Source organism: Homo sapiens, chromosome 6 (genome assembly GCF_000001405.40).
Source record: "Homo sapiens chromosome 6, GRCh38.p14 Primary Assembly".
NCBI lineage: Eukaryota > Metazoa > Chordata > Mammalia > Primates > Hominidae > Homo > Homo sapiens.
Window position 1 is genome coordinate 56,943,245 of NC_000006.12, and position 24,849 is coordinate 56,968,093.

Genomic DNA, 24,849 nt, shown 5'->3' on the forward strand with positions numbered 1-24,849 from the left:
TTGGATGACAGTACTGGTTATAAGGTAAAATGGTTACGAAATAATTCAGAATTATTTTTAGATTACAAATTGAAATACAAACATTAAATATCAAACTTTGATTTAAAACTCTCAAAGGATGAAAGTCCTTTAAATTAAAAAAAAAAAAGTCAGGGATATTTTCAACTCATTTTCTTTTTCTTTTTCTTTTTTTTTTTTTTGAGATAGATTTTCACTCTTGTTGCCCAGGCTGGAGTGCAATGGCACGATCTCAGCTCAGCTCACCGTAACCTCCACCTCCCAGGCTCAAGTGACTCTCCCACCTCAGCCTCCCAAGTAGCTGGGATTACAGGGGGCCCGCCACCACACCTGGCTGATTTTGTATTTTTAGTAGAGAAGGGGTTTCTCTATGTTGGTCAGGCTGATCTCAAACTCCCAACCTCAGGTGATTTGCCCTCCTCGGCCTCCCAAAGTGCTGGGATTACAGGCATGAGCCACCGCGCCCAGCCAATTTCAACTCATTTTCTAAAGTGTCTGATCTGTGTATCCATGAAGTAAACACAGGGTAAGACATAAGTAAGGTATAACTATATGTCTAAAATAAAATACGGGGCCAGGCAGAGTGGCTCACGCATGTAATCCCAGCACTTTGGGAGACCAAAGTGGGTGGATCACTTGAAGTCAGGAGTTTGAGACCAACCTGGCCAACATGGTGAAATCTTGTCTCTACTAAAAATATAAAAATTAGCTGGGCGTGGTGGTGAGTGCCTGTAATCCCAGCTACTCGGGCAGCTGAGGCAGGAGAATCACTTGAACCCAGGAGGCAGAGGTTGCAGTGAGCTGAGATCACGCCACTGTACTCCAGCCTGGGCAACAGAGAGAGACCCTGTCTCAAATAAATAAATAAAAATAAGATACAATATGAAAAGTATCTGTCTCTTTCCCCTTAAGGAAAAGAGGGATACAGGATATTTGGGGAAGTTAGCAAATTCATGAGAATTGAGAATGAAACTGACTTGTAGAAAACTTCAAATATTCATTCATTCATCCAACATTTACTGAGCTTCACTATGTGTCAGATTCTAAACTAAGAACTGGGGTTTTAGACTGCCTTTAAGAGTCTCACAATAACAAAAAAAAAACACTAAATTGTTACTACGAGGCGGGAGTCATGAAAGTTTCCCTAAGGAGATAACTTATGAACTGGACTTTCAAGAAAGAGCAAGAGTTACCCTTTTTTTTTGTTTTGAGTATTTTTGTTTTTGTTGGAGGTGTATGAGAAAAGAGAGGAAAGAAATAGAAAGAGGCTTTCTTAGTTGGAAATAACATGGACAAAAACAATAATCCTAAAAGATCATGGTCTGTTTGAAGAATTATAAGAAGTGTGGACAAATGGTAGACTCGACCTATCACAGGACATCAGTACAAGGAACCCTTTGACATTATACTAAGAATGAACTTTATGATCTTGAAAGAAGTGGGAAGCTACTGAAGGATTTTAAGTAGGGGAGAAATATGCATTCCCCAACTCTTTCTCCCTTGCCTACCTCTACTACAGACACTAGAAAAGATAAAACCTCACATCCCAAGCCTCCTTTATAGTGACAGATGGCCTGTGACAGTTCTGGCCAGTGAAGGGTAAGCAGAAATCTAACTGAAAAGTCTTCTGGCAAATATTCAGATTTTCTGATAAATAACCATGGCTGGCTCTGCCCCTTCCCTTCCTTCCTTCCTTGAATTTAGACACCATATCTGTAACTGTGCCAACCATTCTCCAACCACAAGAGAATGACAAGATTATCCCAAATATACTGAAAATGACATGGTAGAACTGCTCAAGCAAAGCCTGTGGCCATCTCTAGCCTTCTTGTTATGAGAGAATAGAAATCCCTGTTTATTAATAACCCATTTTAAGTTGGGTTTTCTATTACTTAAATCTGAATGTCTCCATAACTTATAGAAGTTTTAATAATTAATTTGTATTTTCAAATGATCTTTATTAAATTGGTGTGGATGAGTTGGGGAAGGGGATGCAGAGAGACTTGTCCAGAGGCTTATTATAGGGCTTGAACCAAAGAAACAGCAATGGGAATACAACGAAAGGCAGAGTCCAGAGATATTTAAAAGAGAAGACAGATGGGACAGGATGGATGAGGGAGCCATCTATTCTATCTTCTATATTCCTAGTTTGAAAAACTGCAGGGGTTTGGGGACTGGATGTGAGAATATTGCCATTCTCCAAAATAGATGCATAAGATGTGGTAAAAGACTGATGATTCAGTTTTGCACATGTTCAGTTTGAGATGCCAATGGGACATCTATGGGAAAATGAGGAAAAAGCAGGTGACTCTGAACCTAGAGATCAAAAGTGAGGTCTAAATTTGATAGGCAGATTTCAGAGTAACCATGATATGGGGATAAACTAAAACAGTGAGTATGGTGAGATCCCACAAGTAAAATCTAAATAAGCAAAAATGAGGCCCAGCAAACCTATTGCCAGAAAGTAGTGCTTGGTTGGGCAGCACATATATGAAAATTGGAAAGATACAGAGAAGATTAGCATGGCCCCTGCACAAGGATGAAACACTGAAATATAAATTTGTGAAGCATTCCATATTTAAAAAAAAAAAAGAATGAAGATTAGTGGCTGCCTATAGGTAAAGGATGAAGGAAGGAGGGGAATAGGGAATAATTGCTAATGGGTATAGGTTTATTTTGGGGGTGATGAAAATGTTCTAAAATTAAATTGTGATGATGGTTGCACAACCTTGTGAATATACCAAAAACCACTTAATTATACACTTAAATGGGTGAACTGTATGGTACGTAAATTATATCTCAATAAAGCTGTTTTCTTCTTTTAAGTAGGCCCAAGACAGGGAATATCAAGTTATAAGTAGGAAGAGGATTCAGTGCAGAAACAGAGAGAGCCAGGGCCAGAAAGGGGCAGGGGATTAAGAGGGTGTTGTCTAGAAACCAGGAAGGAAATATCAAGAAGGAATCAGTGGCCAATAGTATCAAATACTGGATAGATCAACTAAATTAAAGACTGAAACAATCAATATATCAATTTGGAAATCATTGGTGACCTAAGTGTGAGTGGTTCTAAATAGTAGCAGCAGAAGCCAGATTAAATTGAGGAATAAGTGAGAGGTGAGGAATAGAAGGTAACAAAGAAGCTTTTTCAGGAAACTTTTCTTGTCAAGAGAAGAGTTGGTGACATAGGGAGGTTTTGTGCTGTTGCTGTTATTTCCAATAGGAAGCACATATGATGTTTATAGGTAAGGGAAAGGAGCCAGCAGAGAAGGAGCAATTGAGGATAAAGAAGGAGGGGATGACTAATAGAATATCCCCCAAGATGGGAAGAAAAGAATTCACAACATAAGCATAAAATATCAGTGTGGACGACAGATGAATTTTTCATTGGACTGGGAAGGAAGGCTAAGATGCCAGTTAGTTCGTAGGTGCAATAAGTTTAAGGAGCTATTACTTGATACATTAATTGTGAGTCAGGAGATAAAAAGTCACTGGCTGAAGGTAAGGGAGTAGGCCTGAGGATTTCATAGGAGGGTAAACATTTAGGAATAATTATTATAGGAGAGAAATTTTAAAGGAAGAAGTTGAAAAGTTGCTACATACATTTCAAATACTTTCAAAAACTTTAATGTATTTCAGTCAATAAAAAGGTCTTTTACATAATGAATTACCTGCAAATTTATTATACTTCATATTAAAATTTGTAATGACCACACTAAACACATGAGCAAGTTCCCATAAATCCCTGGAGAGATGGTGTCTGCAGTCAGAATATAACCCAATGATGCTGATCCTTGGACCTCAAAAATATGGTACCCATCAAAAACTCAGCCTCGGGGTCACCAGAAAGGCCCCCAACTGGCCATTTTCCAAGGCCCTCTGCAGCAGAGGCCATAACTCTTTGTTCTCCCTGGGTGAAAGAAGAGTGATTGGACGGTTTTGTTATAGTTGCTGGAAAAGAAATCAAATGGTGATTTTTTGCTACTCTCTCTTTTTTTTTTTTTTTTTCTGAGACAGAATCTTGCTCTTTCACCAGGCTGGAGTGCAGTGGCACGATCTTGGCTCACTGCAACCTCCACCTCCCAGGTTCAAACGATTCTTCTGCCTCAGCCTCCCGAGTAGCTAGGACTACAGGCGTGCGCCACCACACCCAGCTAATTTTTGTATTTTAGTAAAGACGGGGTTTCACCATGTTGACCAGGATGTTCTCCATCTCCTGATCTTGTGATTCACCCACCTCAGCCTCCCAAAGTTCTGGAATTACAGGCGTGAGCCACCACGCCCAGCCTGCTTCTCTTAAGAGGACTCACAGCAGATGCCCTCCTAAAGTGTTCAAATAAAATAATGTTATGTCAAAGCCTTTTGTCAACTGTCATGTAGTATACACGAATCATTTTTATTATAGCTGACACTTATGTCTACTTCCAGCACTATATTCCTTTATGCAATCTCAAGAGTCCCTTTCTCTAACCATACTGGTGTACACCAAGCTCTGAAAACAGGCATGTGCTTTCCTAAATCTTGTCTATCCTCATGCCCTTATACCAACCTGGGATTTTGCTCTCATTTCTCTGAATCTACTCAGGTACAGTGGACCCCACTTATCCACCACAGATCCATTCCAAGACCCCAGTGGATGCCTTAAACCATGAATAGTACTAAACCCTATACATACTATGTTTTTTTCCTATACAAACACACCTATGATAAAGTGTAATTTAATTAAGTAAATCTGATGCAACACATTGCCATCAATCAGAATATGTTTTCTATTCATGTCTTCCACCCACATATTTAATGTCTTTTCCATCCTAACTAAGCACTCATCATGCCCTGTGGCCATAACTTTTACAGTTTAAAGTGTGACAGCAAAACTATCAGGAATTTCTTTTTCCTTCTTCACAATTTCACAGATAGAAGATTCATTCTTGTGGTATATCTCAGAAGCTTCAGCATACGATTTTTTTTTCCTTTCCTTACTAAGTCAAGAAGTTTTACCTTTTCACTTTAAGGAAGCATTTTGTGGCTTCTCTTTGGCATATCTGAATTGCCAGCATCACTACTCTTGCACTATGGGGCCATTATTAAGTAAAATAAGGGTGACTTGAACACAAGTGTGGCAATACAGTTGACGGTAAACCTGATAACTGAGATGGCCAGAGTATAAAGTATGTATTTGCTAGACTAAGGGATGATTCACATGTTGGGCAGGACAAAGTGGGATTGGAGCAGGGCAGCTCAGGGTTCCATCGGGCTACTCAGAGTGGCACGCAATTTCAAACTTATGAATCCTTTATTTCTGTAATTTTCCACTCAATATTTTCACACCACAGTTGGCCACGGGTAACTGAAGCCATGAAAAGCAAAACCACACAGAAGAGGGGACTACTGTACTTACCATACAACCTTCAGGCTTCAGCATAAATATCACTCCTCTTGGAAGGCTTCTCTAACCACTTGAGCTAGAAGCAACCATTTCACCAGAACTATTCCAACCATTCCTTTTCTATACATAATTTGTTACTTGGTATTTACGCTAATGATGCTTTTTTCTTTACCTGCCTTAAGCACCTAGAAGACAGGAATCATGTTTTCATGGTGCCTCTACAGCATGACACTTTGTATGTAGTAGATACTTGGCCTATTACTTCTGGAAGGGGATCAGAGATCATTCTCACATTACCAGTCATAATACAAAATCTAAGTATCAGTGACAAAAGAGACTTGACCAAGGTGACACAGTTAGTTTGTGGCAGAGCTAGAACCCAAAACCAGAATTTTGAACTCATATTCTTATAATCCTTACATTATGCCAATAATTATTGTTATTACCCTAGTTCCATTTTGCCATCCAGATCTCAAAGAGAGTCATTCTTGAGCCTTAAGATTACATAAAGATGCAAACTTCTCTGGAAAATATTTTGTTTCAATTCTAATCTAGATGAATTTAATTGGCTTGGATGCATGAAAAAAAGTGAGAGTTTTTGTTTGTTTGTTTTTGTTGTTTTGTTTTTGTGTTTTGTCACCATGTAGCTAAAGTCAGCGTTAATTATATGGTAGTGTTGACTCTGGTATGATAAACTCTGTGAATAGGATTAATTTGTCTTTTTTACATATGTATTGGCTGTACACTTTTACACAGCAGCCTCCGATGCTCTCATTGCATTTGTGATTCATAGTTGGAAACGGCACAGCAGTTCAGTTAGCATAACAGAAAAAACCAGTAACTATAAAATTTCAGCACTGACATTGGGAGTGACCTAGAAGGAACTGTCAAGGGCAGGGGCTCCATCTCTAACCCTTTGTTAGCCCTATTGTCTAACACAGTACTTTGGACAGAAAGAGAAAATAAATGTGTTTATTTGAAAAATAATTGGGTGACACTCAGTGAATACTACATCATGTGCACACTTACAACTTATGGCTGATTTAATTAGTGTAAATTAATTTAGACCTAAAACGTAACTCTAGACAAATTATTTATTTATAAAGATAACCTAATTATAAAGGATTTCTCAATAATAAACTATCACTTTCCCTAATCCACTAAATTAGGTAATTCTTAATGAAAGATGAAAATTTAATGAGATGCTGTGAAATGTGGTTATTTTGCTGGCCATTCTCCAATGATTTGGTACAGGGACACTTGAGGAACATAATGAGGACAACAGGGCTTAGGTGGACCATTGTTTCATTTAGGATAACTTACATAATCACTGGAAAAAAACTAAAGGATTTGCCAGTTCAGTATTATAAGAAATGTCAACTAAAAACTCAATTTCTTTCAGTGAAAATTTTGGGCATATTATTCTCTGGGCTGTGAGTGACACAATTCAACACCAGAGGACAGACAATACGTAGCCAGATAATTCTTGTGTTACTCAGTCCTTATCTTGTTATGTGAGTCTTTGGGAACTGCTTAACTCTTTTGGTTCCTTTGCCTGAAACAGGAAATAGAGATATTTACTCAAAAATTGGTAGATATAGAACACACTCTTCTCCTTCCTTATGTCAGACAAGGCTTCCCTTATTCCACTGAGCTCATGAATAGGGATTATTTACCACTATTCACTCTGGATATTCTCAAAGGGCATTATAATAGTCTCCATTCTACTGAAGTACTCCCAAGACCCTTTCTTATAATCTAATGGTACCTCAATTACCCATATCACTTTCTGAAATTTCCTTAAAATCAGGATTGTCACAGCCTGACTTTCACCACAGGAATCTAGGGTAACAGTTTACCATTATTTAAAGTCACAGCATAAAGCATTATAAATCCTCAGGAAAAGTACACTTCTTAGATAACAGGATTCTAGAAACCAGAATGAACGCTTGGTTTCTAGACTGTCTTGCTACATCAATGTGAAATCACTTCTCTTCATTAGCTGTTTAGCATAACAAGAACAAAAACACTGTGTAAGTGTTTAATATGCATACATAAAACACATATTTCTGTCTATTACTGAAATGAAGTTACACTGTTCAGGCCTTGCTAGCTGCATTAATTATTTCACATTCTCATATGCTATTTATGAACATTTAGAAGACTACTAAAAAGCTAGTAAAGTTTGCAAGTATGTGAAAATAAAAAGGGTTGGCAGTTATGGTTCCAAAACTTATTATAAACATCTATATTACTTATTTCTAGCTTCATGAGGAAGAAACTGAAAAAATGTGTTTATTATATACTTAGTGAGGAGAAAATAGCTGGAGCTCCTCAGATGAGGAAGGTGGCTTTTTTCCCTACTGCAGAACTTTCCCAAAGCAAACTGAGTCCTGGTGCGATGATTTTTTCTCTAGGAGTATTTCTCTGACTACCTGAAAAGGAACCGGCTAAAACTTCCTGTGCAATTGGACTCCTTCCTGGGCGTGTGGGTACCAGAAGCAATACATTCTGCCAAGTAGAGCATCAAAGTACTCACTGAACTTCTTCATCTGTACAAGGGCTAGCCCAAAGCTTTTTCATGGTTCAAAGTGAGTCAGCAGATCCTAAACTCATTTTCCTCCTTTGACCATGGTAGAAATGCTGAAAGTGAGTTAATCTACTTACTGAGAATGGAAGGAGAAACAGAAAGTACTAAATTCTTAGTTCAATATGACTATGATTTGTCAGAAATCAAAATATTTTCTTGAATAATTATTTTGCAGCAGCTACTACTAAAAAGCAACAAGAATATTCATTATGCTACACAAATTCTATTTTTTAAAATATGTTTAAAACCAAGTAAATTCAGAGGTATTTCTCAAAGAGAAAATCTTGCAGAAAATGGCATCTTGATAGAAAAGAGAAAAGAAAAATATTCCCTATGTTTTCCTTAAGGGAAAATATTTCATTTATGTAAGCAAAGTAGTGATGAAACATGACATTCTTTTGCAACACAGTCCCATAATTTTCACTTATAAATGGCATTCTTTGAGTGGTTTATCAAAACAGCTTGCTGATGGGTAGCCCATCAACAAATTAAACTAATATTGCATTTAAATTTTTCAGAAAAAAATTCAAACCGAATCCATTTTGTTTCAATTTGTGACTTACATTTTTAGCACAAACTCCAGGGCAATTTTTAAAAGCCTGCAAAGATCCAGTAAGAGTTGAGATTTAGCAAATGTTGAATTCTGAGCGATGTCCTGAGAATGTGCATTTTTCTTTTCTGCCCAACTCTGAGTTCTATTTGCCCAGTTTCAGGAACTAGCACCCACTAGGAGATTTTTTTTTTCATTCATTCATTCAATAAATATTTATTAATAACCCACTGTATACAAGGCACTGAGCCAAATAGTGGGGATACAGCCCTAAACAAGAAAGATATGGTCCTGCCCTCAAGGAGCTCACAGTCTAGTAGACAAGGCAAATACCACACAAAGATGTCAAACTGTACCAGGAATCTTATGAAGTGAGTTAAGGCATTAAACAACTACCCCCAGCTTTCCTAACCAAATGCAAGCTCAGAACAAAAATATTCAACTGAGAGATAATTAAACAAGACATAGTTGTATCTCATTTTTTGTTTGTGCTTTAGCTGAAATATCTGATGGCTAGTATAATAATCCAAAACAGGATTATTATTCTTGTTCTATCATTTATGTGTGTGGAACTGGGTATCTCTTTTTAAAATCAAAATCTTATATTTTGGTGTTTGCACTCTGTCAATTATTTACTTCTCATCACATCTGAATGGGCTGTTCTATTGAATTAATCTCATATTCAAAAATTGTTGCTTTACGATAGTCCCGGTTTTTGATGTTTTCCATAAACTTTAATTAAGTAATTTAATAAAGACTTGGAAATTTGCAAACATTATCGTTTATTTTTATACATTTTAAAATTCAATTTTACAAAATATAATGATAGCTACCAAATACTGAATACTTATTATGAACTAAGTGGGATTTTTCTTTACACAATTTCTTGTAATTTCCTCCACCCTCCCATAACCCTGCAAGGTACTAATGGCCCTATCTTACAGATGGGTAAATCGAGGCACCGAGATGTATCACACAGCTAGTTAATGTAAAGCCAGGAATGGAACCTCTGATTACCTCACTTATCCTCTCAAGAATCCTAAACTGAATAGAGTTCTCACCTTCCAGGGCTATATACAGTAGAATTACTCTTTGTGCAACATTTTAATGATATTGCAATAATACAGTTAAAGTTTTTAAGCAACTAGAACCCAATAAAACATCTAGGGTGGCATAAAATATCTGATTAACTAATGAAATGAAAGGCAAGATAACTTCAGGTAAATGGAGGGCGTTTAACTATGAAGTCTTTGCCAACATGAGTAAACTGCACCAAGCAGCAACCTCCAAGCCTGGCGGCGTGCAACTTTCCTAAAAAGAGGGGAAATTATCTTAGGATAAGTGGAGGTTGGCCTGAAAACTCCTAAAGAAATCCTAGGTCAAGGAGCGCTTGTGTTTCTTCAGTGGAGCTGGTTCCTGGGTGCAGTGATTAGGAGTTACTTGCCCTAGAGGGATGGTCCACGTTTTGAGAGTGGAGACTAGCACAAGCATTTAAGCACACACTACCATCATCGCTTTGCAAAAATCATCAGATGGTCCCCAATAAAACATGGAGAGCTTTAGGAGAAAACAGAAATGTAAACTTGAAAATCGAAAATGAAATGCATATGGATCAAATTGTTCTGCACTAACCTCTTCGTTTATCCAAGTGAACAACCAGAGTCAACTGACAGCACCCAGAAAACACTTCCACCAGCAAAATATAAACTGTAAACTCAAGTGACATCCACCCTGTGGCTAAGTTTTTTAAGGTCTGCAGCACTTTTAGGGTTTGCCTTTTCCCCTCTTGTACAACAGCTCCACTACACAAGAAATTTGCTAAAACCGTTCGCTGGGCACTAATATGAAATCACTTAAAAGGAAACATGCCACTTTCGGCTAGGGGACAGCATGTTCGTCATTCAGTGTCCTACTGGTTTCTTAACACGCATATAATTAATATTGGTACTCAGGAAAGAGAACTTCTTCTGACCTTGAGCGTGCGCGCTAAATAAATTACCTCAGAACGAAAGTGGTGCGATCTCAAAACAGCATCTGGGGAGAAAAGAGATAAATGAGACTTCATTTAACTCCTTGTTCTTCACCTACCGAGTGACTCATGACTTACCTGGGAGACCAGGGTTGGGAAAGCACATCGCAGACTCCTGGAATTCGGTGGGACATCCTGGGGGAGGGAGGAGGAGTCCTGGGGCCATCGGTCTCTACGTGATTTCTCCGCGAGAAGTTTGCATGAAAGTTCTGGGGGAGTTGGGGAGCCCCGAAGTTTCCATGCCTTACTTTCTTACCCCTACGCTCCAGCGAAGGATGCGTGAAGGCGAGGCTGGCGCAGCCCCGGACTACGCTCAAATTACCCTTAAGGCTTTAGCAAACTGACTAAAAATTTGAGTTCTTTCCTCCCCTCCCTGCCCTCGGCATCGCCGTGGTTATTCAAACCTGGGAGACTGGAGGGCGGAGGTGACGGCAAAAAGGGCAAGGGGCGTTAAAGAAACGCACTCAGCCTGGGGAGTGGGCAATGATGGGGCTAGGGGCAGCCGAGGAGAAGGGAGCGAGCCGCGCTTCACTCTCCAAATCGGCTTAATTGTTCCTGGTAGCCCGCAGAAACCCGTCGCGGCGTGTCTTACCTCGGCTTCTTGAACGACCCGAGAAGACCGATTTCATCGGATGCCTCCCTTTCTGGAGCTTGCGGTGCCAGCAGCAGAAGAAGACGATGGTGGCGATGGTGCCCAGCAGAAGCAACAAGAGGAAGAGGGCACATTGGATGCTGTAGGGTCTCAGCAAGACGAGGAAAGCCGCGGCGATCATGGTGCGGGCGAGGCGAGGGCGACTCGACGGCGGGGCTGGAGGGCGGCGGCACAGGCACCCGCGCTGGGCGCACGCCGGGACGGCGGGCACGGGTGAGCGCGGCTCAGCGCGTCATGCCTGGCGCTCGCGGCCCCGCGCCCAGCCCAATGGCTGCGCACCCCGCGCCAGCCGCGCTACGCGAGTGATCCAGGGCTGCGGGGAGCGCTTGCCATGACTCAGCAGACAGCGACGAGGCTGCGACTCGGCGGCTGGGATCCTCTCCCCTCCCTCCCCAGGCGCCCCCGCCCCCGTCCGTGCGCAGCCCCCGGGCGCAGCCCCGCCGGGGACGCGGCGAGTGGGGAGGAGCAGCGCCGCCGCCGCGGCCGCCCGGGCCCCGCGCATCGTCCTGCGGCCGCCGCCGACCTCAGCATCCCAGAAGCCGGGCGCACGTGGGTCGGGGCGGGGACGCGGCGCTCAGGCTGCAGCCGCGGCAGCCTGCGGGGGGCGGGAATGGGGCGCCGCGGCGGGGGCTCGGCTGATGACATCACGGCCAGGCTGCGGCAGCGCGGGCGCGCGGACATGGCTGCGGCGGTTTCGGCGGCGTCCGCGGGCTGCACCCGGGCCTGAGAGCCCAGCGCCCTCCCGCGGGGCCGCCCGCCAGTCCGCGCCGTCCGCGGGTGCATTGGCCGGGTGCCTCTAGCTTCCCGGACACCCGGAGCTTCCGCCTATCCAGCCTCCCTCGGCCAAATTGCTGCGGAGCCCGTCGTCAGGGGGCGCCAAGGAGCCAGGGGGAAAACCGAGAGGCGCTGACAGGAGCCTCCCGGCGGTGCTACCCTCCACCTCCCACCTCCCTGCGCCCCGCCCCGAGGTTGGGGCTTTGAAGAATGCAGCCGGGTGAGCTATTGCTTGTGGGGGTTTCCTCGCACTCTGAAGCGCGAGCGCCGGGAAGGGCCTTCCCTGGGAATTGGGATACTCCAGGAACGGGAGGCCCACTCCTCTCCAAGCCTCTCTAAACTAGGAGCGCTCCGGGGTAGTACGCTCTGGTCGGCAGAGGTGAACTCTTCCACCCCAAACTTGGTGCTTATCTCGCAGCTAAGAATTGGGCACTTTCGATCTTCTTGTATCCCTGGGTTTGCCCTAAAACCCTGACTCATTTAGTGCATTTGAAGGGCAAGGCGATTTCAGATTTAGGGACCTGGCAGATGAAGTAAGTTGGTACTTGGCTTATAAACATTTGGGGGAGAAATTTTTTAGGGAGTGTGAGGCAATAGTGATCTCTCACACTTGCAGGCACACTCTGTCTCCCCTTTGTCCCCTCCCCACGTTTCTTCATAACCAGCAAAAAGTATATGGCAGTTGGTGGCCAGGGGATTTAACACTGATGCAATGCCAGCACGGAAGGTATAGCGAGAGCGCTGCAGTGTGCCTTTCTGCGGACGGCCACGGCCACCTGGCCAGGAAGCGGCTGCTGCAGCAGTCATTCTGCGGCATCTTGCGGCCTTGGCGGGCGGTGCTGTGCCGCGTTCTGCTGCCCCCAAGGCAATGCTGGCTTTCCCTGTGTGGGGCTGGATTGTTTGTTTCATTTACTCGCATAAGAAAACTTTAATTATAGTGACAAGGTAACACTTGACTGCATTTGCGGAGTTTCTTATAACAACTGTATTAGCCTCTTTTTTGGAATATTTAATAGACTGAAGAAATTGTGTCATAAAAATTTATAAAAATTTGAAAAGCAGGTAAATAATTGGGAGGAATAAAAGTTTTATTTGCTTGTAGTGATCTCAAAATCAGTGTTGTTTTCCAACTATACAAAACCGTACAGCTCTGCATGAAAGCTTAATCATTGATGTCCTTAAAGCCAGTAACATATTACCGTGTGTAAGTATTAAACCTAAAAAGGCATTGGTTAATGCAGTCTCTTAGTGCCAGATTCATAAGCATGGAAAACAACAGATACGTTTTGTTTACAGCTGGTTTCCTTAAACAAAATAAACATTCGAATTGTTGACATGTTGCATCTCATTCATTCAGTTGTTTTGGATTGAACTCAGAAGGGCCCTTGCTTGGAGACACTGCATAAGGTGGGAATTTTGAATGGCAGCATGTAGGCTGCACTGAATTCCAGGATAGGCTTCATGGGTCTCTAGCACTCAGAGTGGGTGACAGGTAGCACTACATCATGTGCATATGGCTAAAGGTTTCTTGATACCGCAGCCCACTGCAGTGAGAAACTATTCAACAATTATGCAGAGGTTATTGAAGAAAATCCTGAGAGTTTGCAATGTGTGGCACATCAGGAAAGGAAGAATTCTCCACCGCATTGACTCAACAATGGCATGGTGGAGTAATTTTAAACAACAAAACTGAACTAACCGTGTGCAGACATTGGGGGAAATAACTAACAGAATTTTGGAAGGTCATCTTTATGCTTCTCATTGACTGAAATTTGTAAGTGAGCTGAAATAGCCTACGTATCCTTGAACAGAAACATGTCAAAGACACACAGAATAGTATTCAAATTGCCCCAAACGCTATATTTTTTTAACAACAAAAAGCAACTAAATAGCTATTATGGTTTTCTGAGCTATGACTTTAGCACAACTGTTATCATCCTGCGTCTTGCTGCAGCCATTTATAAGTTTCAAGTGCACACAAGAACATCATTTATCTCTCTTGGCAGGCAAATGCTTAACTGCCATGCAATAGGATTATAGATATTTCTTTTTAGATGCATTCATTTCTGTTCTTTCCATCAGTTGTCTTAAAGATACTAATAATAAACAAACCAAATCCTTGAAAGAATTTAGTATTTAGTTCCATTGTTATTTTCTGATTTGTTTGTTGCTAATTTATCATTTTTTCCAAATAACAGCATACATAGTATTAATTGCTTCTGTCTGTGTGTTTATGTGGTGCCTAATGCATTGCGGAATTCAATAAATACTAAATCAGCCAAGCAGTGCTTTTTGGAAGTTAATTTAGTAGAAATTATACCTTGCCTTCCTGGTAGGTTTTTGCTTTAAAAAAAGAATAATTGACATTGTATAAAAGTCACACACAAAAAAAATTGTTAAGTTTGAGGATAGGGATGGAGGGGGAGAGCCATGGCCCAAATCTTTCATACAAAAAAATGAAAATTCATAATGGAAAAGTATGTATAATTTGTTGACTTTTTTTATGAGAGTAAGTTATCATTGTCACCCAAAAGAAGACAAAATAGTTGGGAAAGATAGCTAAGAGAGTTTGATACCACGTATGTAGAAGATGGTCCATTATATAGCCCTTCTTCCCTTTAGATTCTCAACCAAATTGGGAATAGACACAAGGAACCATAAGGAAATTAAAATATTGTGTTAACTCTATTCAAGATAAAGTCAGATTGAAGAACACAGCTTAGCCTCAAAGCCAAAATGGGGCATCTTATTCCTTTTTTCTTACTTGGCATGCTCACCCAGTCCACAGCTGAAAAATGACAGGCCTCCCCAGCATTAGGGCAGGAAGGAACCCAACCTGTTCAAATTCCGGCATAAACACCAAAGGCAAAGGGAAGCCTGACACTTTATAATCCATAAGGCGTTCAGCATGTGTGAGCAAGAGACAGGCCCATGTGTGAGAAGGGAATTTTATACATCACTCCTGCCCACTAATGGGTAGTAGGCCCTCCTGAGTTTTTCCATCACTAAGTCTTTTCATTCCCAAAAGATAGCAGTGAGTAAGGTGCTTTAAAAAGGCGGCAGAAACATCTTCCTCAGTACTTTCTTAGAGGCAGAAAGTTGTGGCACAAGTTCCTAATGTATGGATCAAGAAGAAACATCAGAAAGAAGAAAAGTTTCCACCCTAAGCTGTGTAACAACCAGTTGAGAAAAAGGGAGGAACTGAAGATAACTCAGGTTTTGAGCTAGGGTAGAGGAATAATTTGGAAGGAGAAGATAACAAACTGCATTTTAGACCCACTGAGATGGAAGCCTCAGAAGGACATCATTGTGAAAATATCCAGCAAGCCCATGGAAATGTGGAGAGGTCAGAACCAAAAACAGATAGGGAGTCATCAACATTGTAGTTGGAGTAATGGAAATAGAGGAAATGACTAAGGAATAGATGCTAAAGAGCATCCCAGAATCAGAACTTTGGAGACGGCTTCCATTTCTGGCCTGGAGGATAGCAAAGTGGTCGAAGCCAAGTAGGGAGTGTTCCAATTTAGTGGCTTTCTGGAACAGATGCACAAATGGGAGTCTAAGGAGGGCAAGGACTGAGGACTGGTGACTAGGAGACCTCCGGAAACCTTTCAGAGAACTGATTCATCATGGCAGGAGAGGCTAAAACCAGACATTAATGAGTTGAGGGGGGAATGAAGATGAGAAAGAGGAGAGGGTTGTTGTCTACAATCTTTGCAGAAATTTAACTCTAAAGGGGATGAGTAGAAAAGCAATTAAATCCTGAATAAAGGCCAATGGTGATTATTTTGTCAGGCTAGGGATATTTGAACAAGTTTCTAGGGAATTTGGGAGATGGAGCCAGAAGAGGGAGAGAAATAATTAAAGAGAAGGGAGAAGAGGACATTCTCCTGGGGATTTGTGATTTAGCAATTTTGAGTCCCCCCAACAGACTAGCTCTTTCTGGTCTCAGGTTGCTTTAGACTCTGCAGAGTGAAAATTGAGCCTGACTAGTTAGGATGGCTCCATGCCCATGGTTTCTTCCCCATCTAATCTGGCTACTAGTACTCAGACTTGAAAAATGACTTTTAGGGAAAGATAAGGAATGTCTTGGAATGTAGCCTAGGTTGTCTGTGATTATTACCAATTTATCTGGAAGTGAGTAAATTACCCAGTTGGTAATCACACAAGGACATTACATTGAAATATTACCCCTTGAAAACAAGAAGCTTAGGTAAGAATGGCTCTAGCAATAAATTATTAGAAATAAAGCATATTGATTTTGGCCTGGTAACTTCCTTGCTTCTAGGTGAAGTGTTTTACATGTGCTTGTATTAAAAGGTAAAGGAGCTATATCATCTGGAAGAACCTACTTCATCTAAAATAAATTTGGAGGTGATTTCCAGCCACCAGAACCAGGGAAACCATCATGTGGATAGATTACTATTTTCTTTTTAATATTTGAGTTTTTGAAAGGAAAATAATTGTAACTTGCAGTAATATCAAATATTATTTTCAGCAAATATTCCCTGGTAAAGGGCTTTATTTTACCGTAATAAAAACTTTTAAAATAACTTAAAACTACTGAGAAAATATTGCAAATGGAATTATTTCAGATTGTTGTTTTAACATTTTAGCTATTGTAGAGCCTAATTAGGTTTTGTTGTTCTATGGGTTACCACACTGCCGAAGCCATGATAATTCCAGGAGTATGTGAGGGGAGTTCTTTTTGGGTGTGTGAGCATTACAGACTTTTCAAAAAAGTCAGCTGAGTTTGGGAGCTTAAAAACATCAATATAATTGAATTCGTCTACTATATAATGCTTTGCAGACAGTTTTTGGAAAGTAATCATTTATTATCCACAAGCAAATAGAATTTATTTATATAGTTTCCACATTGAGTGTGGGATTAGTCATGCCACAAAATACTGAGTCATTTGGCCAGAAAATTTACTCATAGTTGTATGAACTGCCAATGGAAAATTTGAGAACTGTTCATAAATCAAATTATAAAGCTCTTAGAGTTATAAATCGCTGAGCAATATCGTTCATTATTATTCCGATGGTATAAAATATTTCCACCATTTCTAAGAATGGGCAATTTACAAAGCAAGTTTGAAAGCTGAAGATATTGCCTTCTAGATCCAAGATGAAATTTGCCATATAAGTTATAAACATTCTACATCTGAAACTTCTACACTTCTTAAGTAAAAAGATAAAAAAGTAAGGTAGGAGCTTTATTATTGCATAGCAAATGTTACAAGATGAATAAAATTTTGGTTATTATCTACAAATTAAGTTCTAGGTTGTGATGATAATAAAACTACAGCAACATTGAATAGCTAGAGTTCCCCTATTTCTTACAATAATTCTTTGTCATTTAGGACTTTTGCATTAAATATTTTGTGCTAATAGAGTTGTATGCTAATGCATCAATGCACTCATAGCCTGAAAAAATATTGTCACTAGGAGAGCAGAAGTACTAAATGTACCAAGGAGAGCAGAAAATTGTGATGAGCAACTGATGATTAGTAAAAGATGTATTAATAATATATAGTTCCAGAGATTATTGATACCTCAATGTAAGGACATCCCATGAATCTAGGAAGAGAAAGAAAAGTACATCTTTAAAATGTTTTTGTAGCCACAAATACTTTATGGAGTAAAACAGGGCAACAAACAGCAAACACACAAATTGGAATATAGTAGAGTTTATATTTCAAAGAAGAAAGCCATTAACCTAAAGCCTGTTCTTGCCAGTCCTATCTCTACTGTAGAAGTTCAAACTGGAATTCATGAGTAGGTTTCTAGAGACCTGAAATTACATGTAAAAACTTGTGTCTCATTTTGAGGACATGATCCATACCTTTCATTAGATTCTTAATGAGCTCTCCCCCAACTCCCACAATGAGAATCATCAGAATCATGCAAATCCACATAGGTACTGAGGCTTCTGAACTCGTATAAGTCATTTGATCCATCAACAATGGCAGCACCTGGGTACCCCTGAGACTGTAAGAAGTGTCTTGGGGACTATCCGTCCATGGTTAGCAAAGGAAACTTTCTGTTCTAAACTATAAAAGTTTAGATAAGTCTCCCAAGTGCAGGTGAGTGCTGCCACCCAAAGACTAAATGGAGATGATGTGCTGGGAGTTAATTTGTCCTCTAGCATCTTTAAACATATTGGGAGGGAGACAAATGAGTCACCTAAGGTAACTCCCACTGGGATGTCAGTTGTAACCCTAAGAGGAGAAAAGACTGTGTTAACAATCTAGGACCACTTCCATAGACTTCTGTTATGGAAAGAAGGGATAAATTGATTCCTAAGCTGCCTTCATGCCAATTAACTACCCAATTTATAGCTAGATGTTTGAATGGATAAGCCCATTCCAAGCCAATAGGACTAGTCCTAAAAGGTAGTCTTGGGTTCACAGTCTGCAAAAATTGCTATAGTCTTAAGGCCTAAAAGAGGGACAAAAGGAATTAGTATTAGGTTCCCAGAAACAACTCACAGACATTCTGGTAAATAAAGCCACCACTCTTCCTAAATCCTTCCCCAAGCCCACATTCAACAGTCTACTGTGGAGTCTGCAGACCTGGTAATTGGTGCCCTCAATCCCACCAGGGTGATTCTGCACTCTGGTGGGAAGACTGCCCATCCAGCTGTTCAGCTTCACCTACTCGTTGTTTCTAGCGTCCCACCAGGAGTGGAATGCTATGGTTTAAATTTTTACTTCTGCAAAAACTCATGTAGAAATTAGATTATTGTTGTGACAGTATTGGCAGGTGGGACCTTTGAGAGGTGATTAGACCATGAGGGCTCTGCCCTCATGAATGGATTAATGCTGTTACTTTAGGAGTGGATTTGTTATAAAAGAGCTAGTTCAGCCTCCTCTCTCTCTTTCTCTCTCTCATCTTCATCTTCCACCATGTGATGACACAGCAAGACAGCAAGACACTCACCAGATGCCAGCACCTTGATATTACTGCAAGCCAGTAAATTTCTGTTCATTATGAATTACTAAGCCTGTGGTATTCTGTTTTAACAGCACAAAACAGACCAAGACACCACTCTTGCCATATTTGTGGACCTCAACTCCCTCTCCACCACCATATTTCCAGGATACTAGGTCTCAATGTCACATCATCATGATCACATATTGTTACAGTATGAAGCTGGTTATTTCATTATGTGACTGTTTCACTCCAGTGGGCAAGTCCAGTTTCCTGACGTATCCCGATCTCTCAGTGTGGCTAGTTCTTTTTGCTCCAAGTTCTGTTCTGATCCTCTAGGGTTTGGTGACATAACATTCATGCATTCCACACAGAAACAGACCTTGGATCAATATGATTTCCTGGGTGCCTCAGACCCCCCTCTGGGCCTAGTGGGCACTGTTCTTTGCACACTTTCAGTCTGTGGTCATTTGTAATGAGGCAGGAATCTACTTAGAGAAGATATTGCAGGATTGTAGTTAATGTATCAGACTTCCTGGTGGTTTGCCATCTGGTGAGCTGTTAAAAGTCTAGGTCTTAGTGCCTAGATTAAGGGGCACCAACAGCACCCTGGGAGTTGATTGGTATGATCATTATTCACCTGTGCCACTTCCCCAGAAGGCATGGAATAACATGCACTGGTCATCCTCATTACTGAATGGCTACCTTGATGTGGACCACCTAGTTATCTGTAGCAACAGCTAGCACTTATTGAGTATCTACTCTCTGCTAAATGCTTTACGTGCATTTACTCATTCAATCCTCACAGCAGCCCTGAGTAGGTACTACTCTTATTCCTATTTTATGGATGGGAATTCCAGGGCTTAGAGATGTAAGGAATTGCCTAAAGACCACACACCTAACAAGCGGCATCAAAATTCTTCAGCACTTCACAAACCACACAAACCATTCCTGTTGCATGTTTTCCATTTGCACTGCCTCCCTGCTTCATTTGCACTGCAGCTCTTCCCCTAAAGGAAATCCTCTCAGTTGGAGCTTGCTGAGCAGCTACTCTTCCTCTCTTCTGACTCTCCTTAGGCTACCCCTACCCAGATTAATGAAGGCCAACCCGACACTCCAGCAGAACGTCAGATGTTTCCTTGTACACAAGAGATGCAGTCCTCTCCTTTAGCCTGTGAGGAATTTACCTAGGCCACACCTACTAATCCAGCAATTTCACAAGACTCTTTGTATTAAAAAATTATAGTTTCACCCTTACCATTTCATTGCCATGTCTCCATCATTATCGCTTGGGTAAATTTGACCCAGCATCTCCAGAAAACTGAAGAAGCTTAGCGGGGCCAAGCTGACTCCTACTTTGGTAAAACGGCTCCATGGGAGACCACCTGGCTGTCCTTTATAAAAGAGAAAGCTATAATAATTTTTTCTTTATATTTTTACAAAAGATTGAGGTTTGTCTAATATAGACTCATAGGCATCAAGGTTAATTAGCTATGTTTATTGAAGCCCTCCCCTGTCCTCAATGCTATAAACTCCCCTCCTACTCTCACATGTTTGACCTAAACTTGTATGGGGGTAATCTGGTTCAGTTTGCTTCAATTAATAATAAAATATTACTATTAATAAATTAATATAATTTATTACTATTAATAAATTAATATAATATAACTAATACAATACTAGTAGTGGTATAATAAAATACTACTATTAAATTAATGTTATAATTACAATATTAATAATATACTTCGTTATAAAATAAAATATTTTTGTAATAATATTGATATAATTATATTGTTAATTAATAATATAAATAATTATTGTTATAAAATAAGATAGTAGTAATTATATTATTACAATTAATATTATAATTAATATTAATTAATTTATATTATTATATACCTGACATATCAACTCATAATGGGGTATTTTATTATTCCCATTTCACAGATGGAGAGACAGAAGCACAGAAAGATTACATGGGTAGTAAGTATTGGAGCTAGGATTATGAATCAGACAGTTTGGCTTTAAAGCCTATGATTGTAAGTACTTATGTGACCTGCTTTGTAAGGGTTTCAGACTGGAAGACTATCTTGAAATAACTACATAGCAAAACTGTACCTCTACCAATAAAAAAGAGTATCTCACTAAGCTTTCTATCTTTTCATAGAAGGACAAGTTTAGTCTTTCCCTCTTTCTGTGAACAGGATGTACATTTGCCCAAGGTTCTGTGTCCTGCTGACTGTTCTAACAACTTCTCTACCATAAAATCAAAGACTGACAACACTGTCCCCAAATGCCATCCCTGCTAAGTCCCCTGTTCCTCTGTCTTTTTGTCTTTTTTTTTTTGAGATGGGGGCTTGCCCTGTTGCCCACGCTGGAGTGCAGTGGCCTGATCATAGCTTACTATAGCCTCCATCTCCCAGGCTCAAGCAATCCTCCTGGCATAACCTCCCAAGTAGCTGAGACTACAAGCAGGCACCACCATACCTGGCTAATTTATTTTATTTTTAGTAGACGAAGTCTCATTATGTTACTCAGGCTGGTAATTCTTGGCTTCAAGCAATCCTCCCACCTCTGTCTCCCAAGTATTGGGATTACAGGTGTGAGCCTCCTCACCTGGCCTCTTCTCAGTCTTTGACACTTCTGAACCTCGACGTTAGGTTGCATACTTTGATCTCACTCTACCCATCTATCCATCCTTGCTTTAATATAGCTTCCTGGGCCTCAGCTGGCTTAAAGAGATTCATCCCATTTCCTTGAGCTTTCTTCTTTGATCAACACTTGCATTCTCCATCCTTAACTGGTTTCTTAGTTCTGACTTGCCCTATGGCTAACCACACCCAAATATGCCAATACACTGAGAGAAGATGGCCTTTTACATTCCTTTTCATTTTGATTACGAGTTTATTGATAGCACTTTCACTCATAAATATATAATAAATGTATTTTTCTAAATGACCTTCATAGGGATAGGGAAATAACTTGATAAAATGTGTAATGTAGCTGATCATTTGTTTTTTTTAAATTTTAATGTTGCTTCAAGGTGGTAAGAAAAAATATCAGAGTAAGGAGAGAAATGATTGGTAACAGGTAAGACGGGAACTCCACTTAAGATGATTTATTAAGTAAATTATCTAAAATATGTGACTCAGCACATTAATTATATTTAGACCTTAACTTTTGATAGTATAAAATTACAAAGTTAATGGAGATAATGGTGAATGGTAACCAGTTATTTCATTAATATATGATATTAGGCCAGGCATGGTGGCTCATACCTGTAACACCAGGACTTGTGTCAAAAAACTGTTTAGAAATATTATTTAGCAAATAGATATGTTGATGTTGTTAGGAGCTAGGATTTTCAGTGAGAGAGAAAAATGCATTATAAAATCAGAGGATCTCTTGAGCCTAGAAGTTCAAGGCTGCAGTAAGCCTTGATAGCGCCGCTGCACTCCAGTCTCTGTGACAAAGCGAGATCCTGTCACACACACAAAAAAATTTATATATATATATATATATATATATATGCGATATTAACATAGTGTATAATGGGATAGATATTTCAAAAAGAAATGATCTCATCTTTTCATATTATAATTGATTAGATTAATATTTGAGAGTTGAATCACTCCTGATTTTTATGCATAAGCATTGATTCTTGGATCAGAATTACATATTACATTTTGTGAATTTGCAAAATTGGTCCAAAAGTTATTAATGTTGTAGAATACATTTACTTAAAGCAAAAAGCATAATAATCTCATTTTGCTCTCAACTTTCAAGATGAATAGAAAGTTCCACATTAATTAAAAAATGTGAAATAGAAAACACTTCACATGACTTATAGTCCTCCTAAAATAGAACTTGTAATTGATTTTACTCCTCTCTAGGCTTAACTCTGAACCTGTGGTTTGTTTTTTGTTTGTTTGTTTGTTTGTTTTTTGAGACCGAGTCTTGCTCTGTCACCCAGGCTGGAGTGCAATGGCATGATCTCGGCTCACTGCAACCTCCATCTTCCGGGTTCAGGCAATTCTCCTGCCTCAGCCTCCAGAGTAGCTGGGGTTACAGGCACTTGCCACCACGCCTGGCTAGTTTTTGTATATTTAGTAGAGATGAAGTTTCACCATGTTGTCCAGGCTGGTCTCGAACTCCTGACCTAAGATGATCCGCCTGCCTCGGCCTCCCAAAGTGCTAGGATTACAGGCGTGAGCCACTGCGCCTGGCCTGTTTTTTTATAAATATGAGGGAAGGCACATAATTATTGGGGGGACAAGTAGTAACACAATAATAGCCAAGAAGAAAATGTTCAGAGGCCCTAGAACCACAGGAAAATTTTAGAGTCCCTCTGAATTTTGCATTTACTTTCTTGTGCAAATTTTCAGATAGTTCTGCCTGTGCCTGCAGGCTTTTTATTGACAATTGATTGGGATAAGTGACACTGTGGAGCAGGTGAAGATTGCCTTCCACTTTTCCCAGCCTCTTATTTCTGTGCTATTACCTCTGTGCTATAGTCTTCTTCGTGAACACATCAACATGAAAGTAAGCCAGCCACACTGTTTAATTTCCGAAAAGACAAAGGCTGGGTCATTTAGCACTTGGTTGTTTTGCCAGGTGAGGAGCAACAGAGGGACTCTGGTACAGATGATGAAGCTAACATGTGGAGCCAGTGATACCAGCAATACTAGGGGTATTGATCCAGTAATACAGATAAGAGCATGCATGAAGAAAAGAGCAAAAAAAATAAACCCCTTTGCCACTGGAAATAGAGCTTGATCAGTGGTAGGATGGATCATGTCAGAACATGGAAATTAGAAATACAAGCCATATCCTATAGAACAGTAATAACCCAGCAAACAAATAGTGTAGATCAGGTACATTGTCAGTATCAGATGTCCATAGGGAGATAGCAGGTGGAAGTATTGGCAACGGAAGGAATCTATCGGCTGGCAACAAATAGACACACAGGCAATCAGGAGGTATGAGGAGCCCTGCCATGTTGTATCAGTCAGAGTTCTGGCAAGAAATAGATGGCCCACTAAAATTAGGATGATTTGAAAAGGCTTTAACTAAGGGACTATTTAAGAAAGTGTGGGCTGAGTATAGGGAAACCATGAGAGATCATGCTGTACCTCAGGGCTAGTCATAGTGGAAATGTTACCAGCCCTGGACCAAAGGGAGAGGAAAGGCATGGTTATTGCAACCTGAAAGGAGAGGGGCACATGAAATCTGAAGTGACCCCACAGGAAGGGAGCCGGGAGGATAAATTCTCCTGACTCGCTGTCCTCCCTCCCTCTGATCTCATGCCTGGACACTCATTGGCTGAAATCAGCTGAACTCAGCTGAAAAGAGAGTTCGGGAGCCCAAACAGGTCAAACTCCAGACTCAGAGAGTGAAATAGAGACAGCTAGGGAAAGGATCTGGAGGGCCAAAGAAAGGGTCTCCTTCTCTAGCATCTAACCAGGACTATAGTCCTAATAAACACTGATGAACAAGCCAAGACTCCAGTCTCTGTGGGAATGGTACTACAGGGCAAACTTAGGCAAGGAGGGCCCTGTAAGGGACTACTTGAAGTGAAAAAAGCAAAAATCTCATTATTGGAATTGACAACCTGCTACAAAGCTGACTTGATGATTAGCTGCTAAGTTCTGGCTTGAGCGTGCTTATGGATTACCAACTAGGAGTGGTTGCCAGGTTCCACCGTGGACCTCAGCTCCCTCATCTGTAAAGTGTGGATAATACTTGTTCCTACCACAAAGGGTGTCTGTGAGGATTAAATGAGTTAGTAGAGGTTAAATGCATAGAATAGCACCTTATATATACTAAATATTCAGTAAATGTTAGCTATGTTTTTATTTTTATTAAGTGAAGGAGGCAGAATTGGAGAGATCCAAGGATGTCATATAGGTCAGTATAGGGA

At 40.5% G+C, this 24,849-nt stretch overlaps 2 protein-coding genes and 1 pseudogene across 12 annotated transcripts in view, besides 2 other annotated features; 2 read left to right on the forward strand and 1 right to left on the reverse strand.

Annotated features, from left to right (window-relative positions):
• Window positions 1-11,586, reverse strand: part of DST (dystonin) — a 496,835-nt gene extending 485,249 nt beyond the window's left edge. For 3 of the 4 annotated variants that reach the window (NM_001144769.5, NM_001374722.1, NM_001374736.1), the window contains exons 1-2: window positions 11,163-11,586; window positions 10,541-10,575 (exon numbers count right to left, since the gene is read on the reverse strand). In NM_001144769.5, the coding sequence (NP_001138241.1) occupies window positions 10,541-10,575; window positions 11,163-11,343 (216 nt within the window). In that variant the 5' untranslated portion in view covers window positions 11,344-11,586. Of the gene's footprint in view, window positions 1-10,513; window positions 10,576-11,162 lie in introns of all 4 variants that reach the window. The other variant, NM_001374734.1, reaches the window with a different exon arrangement.
• On the forward strand, window positions 2,486-2,598 carry RNU6-626P (RNA, U6 small nuclear 626, pseudogene; annotated as a pseudogene).
• Window positions 10,569-11,200: an enhancer, noted in NCBI's record as "H3K27ac hESC enhancer chr6:56818611-56819242 (GRCh37/hg19 assembly coordinates)". NCBI's record gives its function as "activates a minimal SCP1, AML or CMV promoter by ChIP-STARR-seq in naive H9 embryonic stem cells {active_cell/tissue: H9 hESC(naive)}" and the evidence as "EXISTENCE:reporter gene assay evidence [ECO:0000049][PMID:30033119]".
• Window positions 11,362-12,051: a silencer, noted in NCBI's record as "silent region_17300". NCBI's record gives its function as "represses an Ori minimal core promoter by ATAC-STARR-seq in GM12878 lymphoblastoid cells {active_cell/tissue: GM12878}" and the evidence as "EXISTENCE:reporter gene assay evidence [ECO:0000049][PMID:35858748]".
• BEND6 (BEN domain containing 6) overlaps window positions 11,863-24,849 on the forward strand; it is a 72,240-nt gene continuing 59,253 nt past the window's right edge. For 2 of the 8 annotated variants that reach the window (NM_152731.3, NM_001318539.2), the window contains exon 1: window positions 11,863-12,216. The gene's annotated coding sequence lies outside the window, so the exon portion shown is untranslated. Of the gene's footprint in view, window positions 12,217-20,874; window positions 20,913-24,849 lie in introns of those variants that run through there. The other 6 variants (XM_017010406.2, XM_047418320.1, XM_047418321.1 and 3 more) reach the window with 6 other exon arrangements.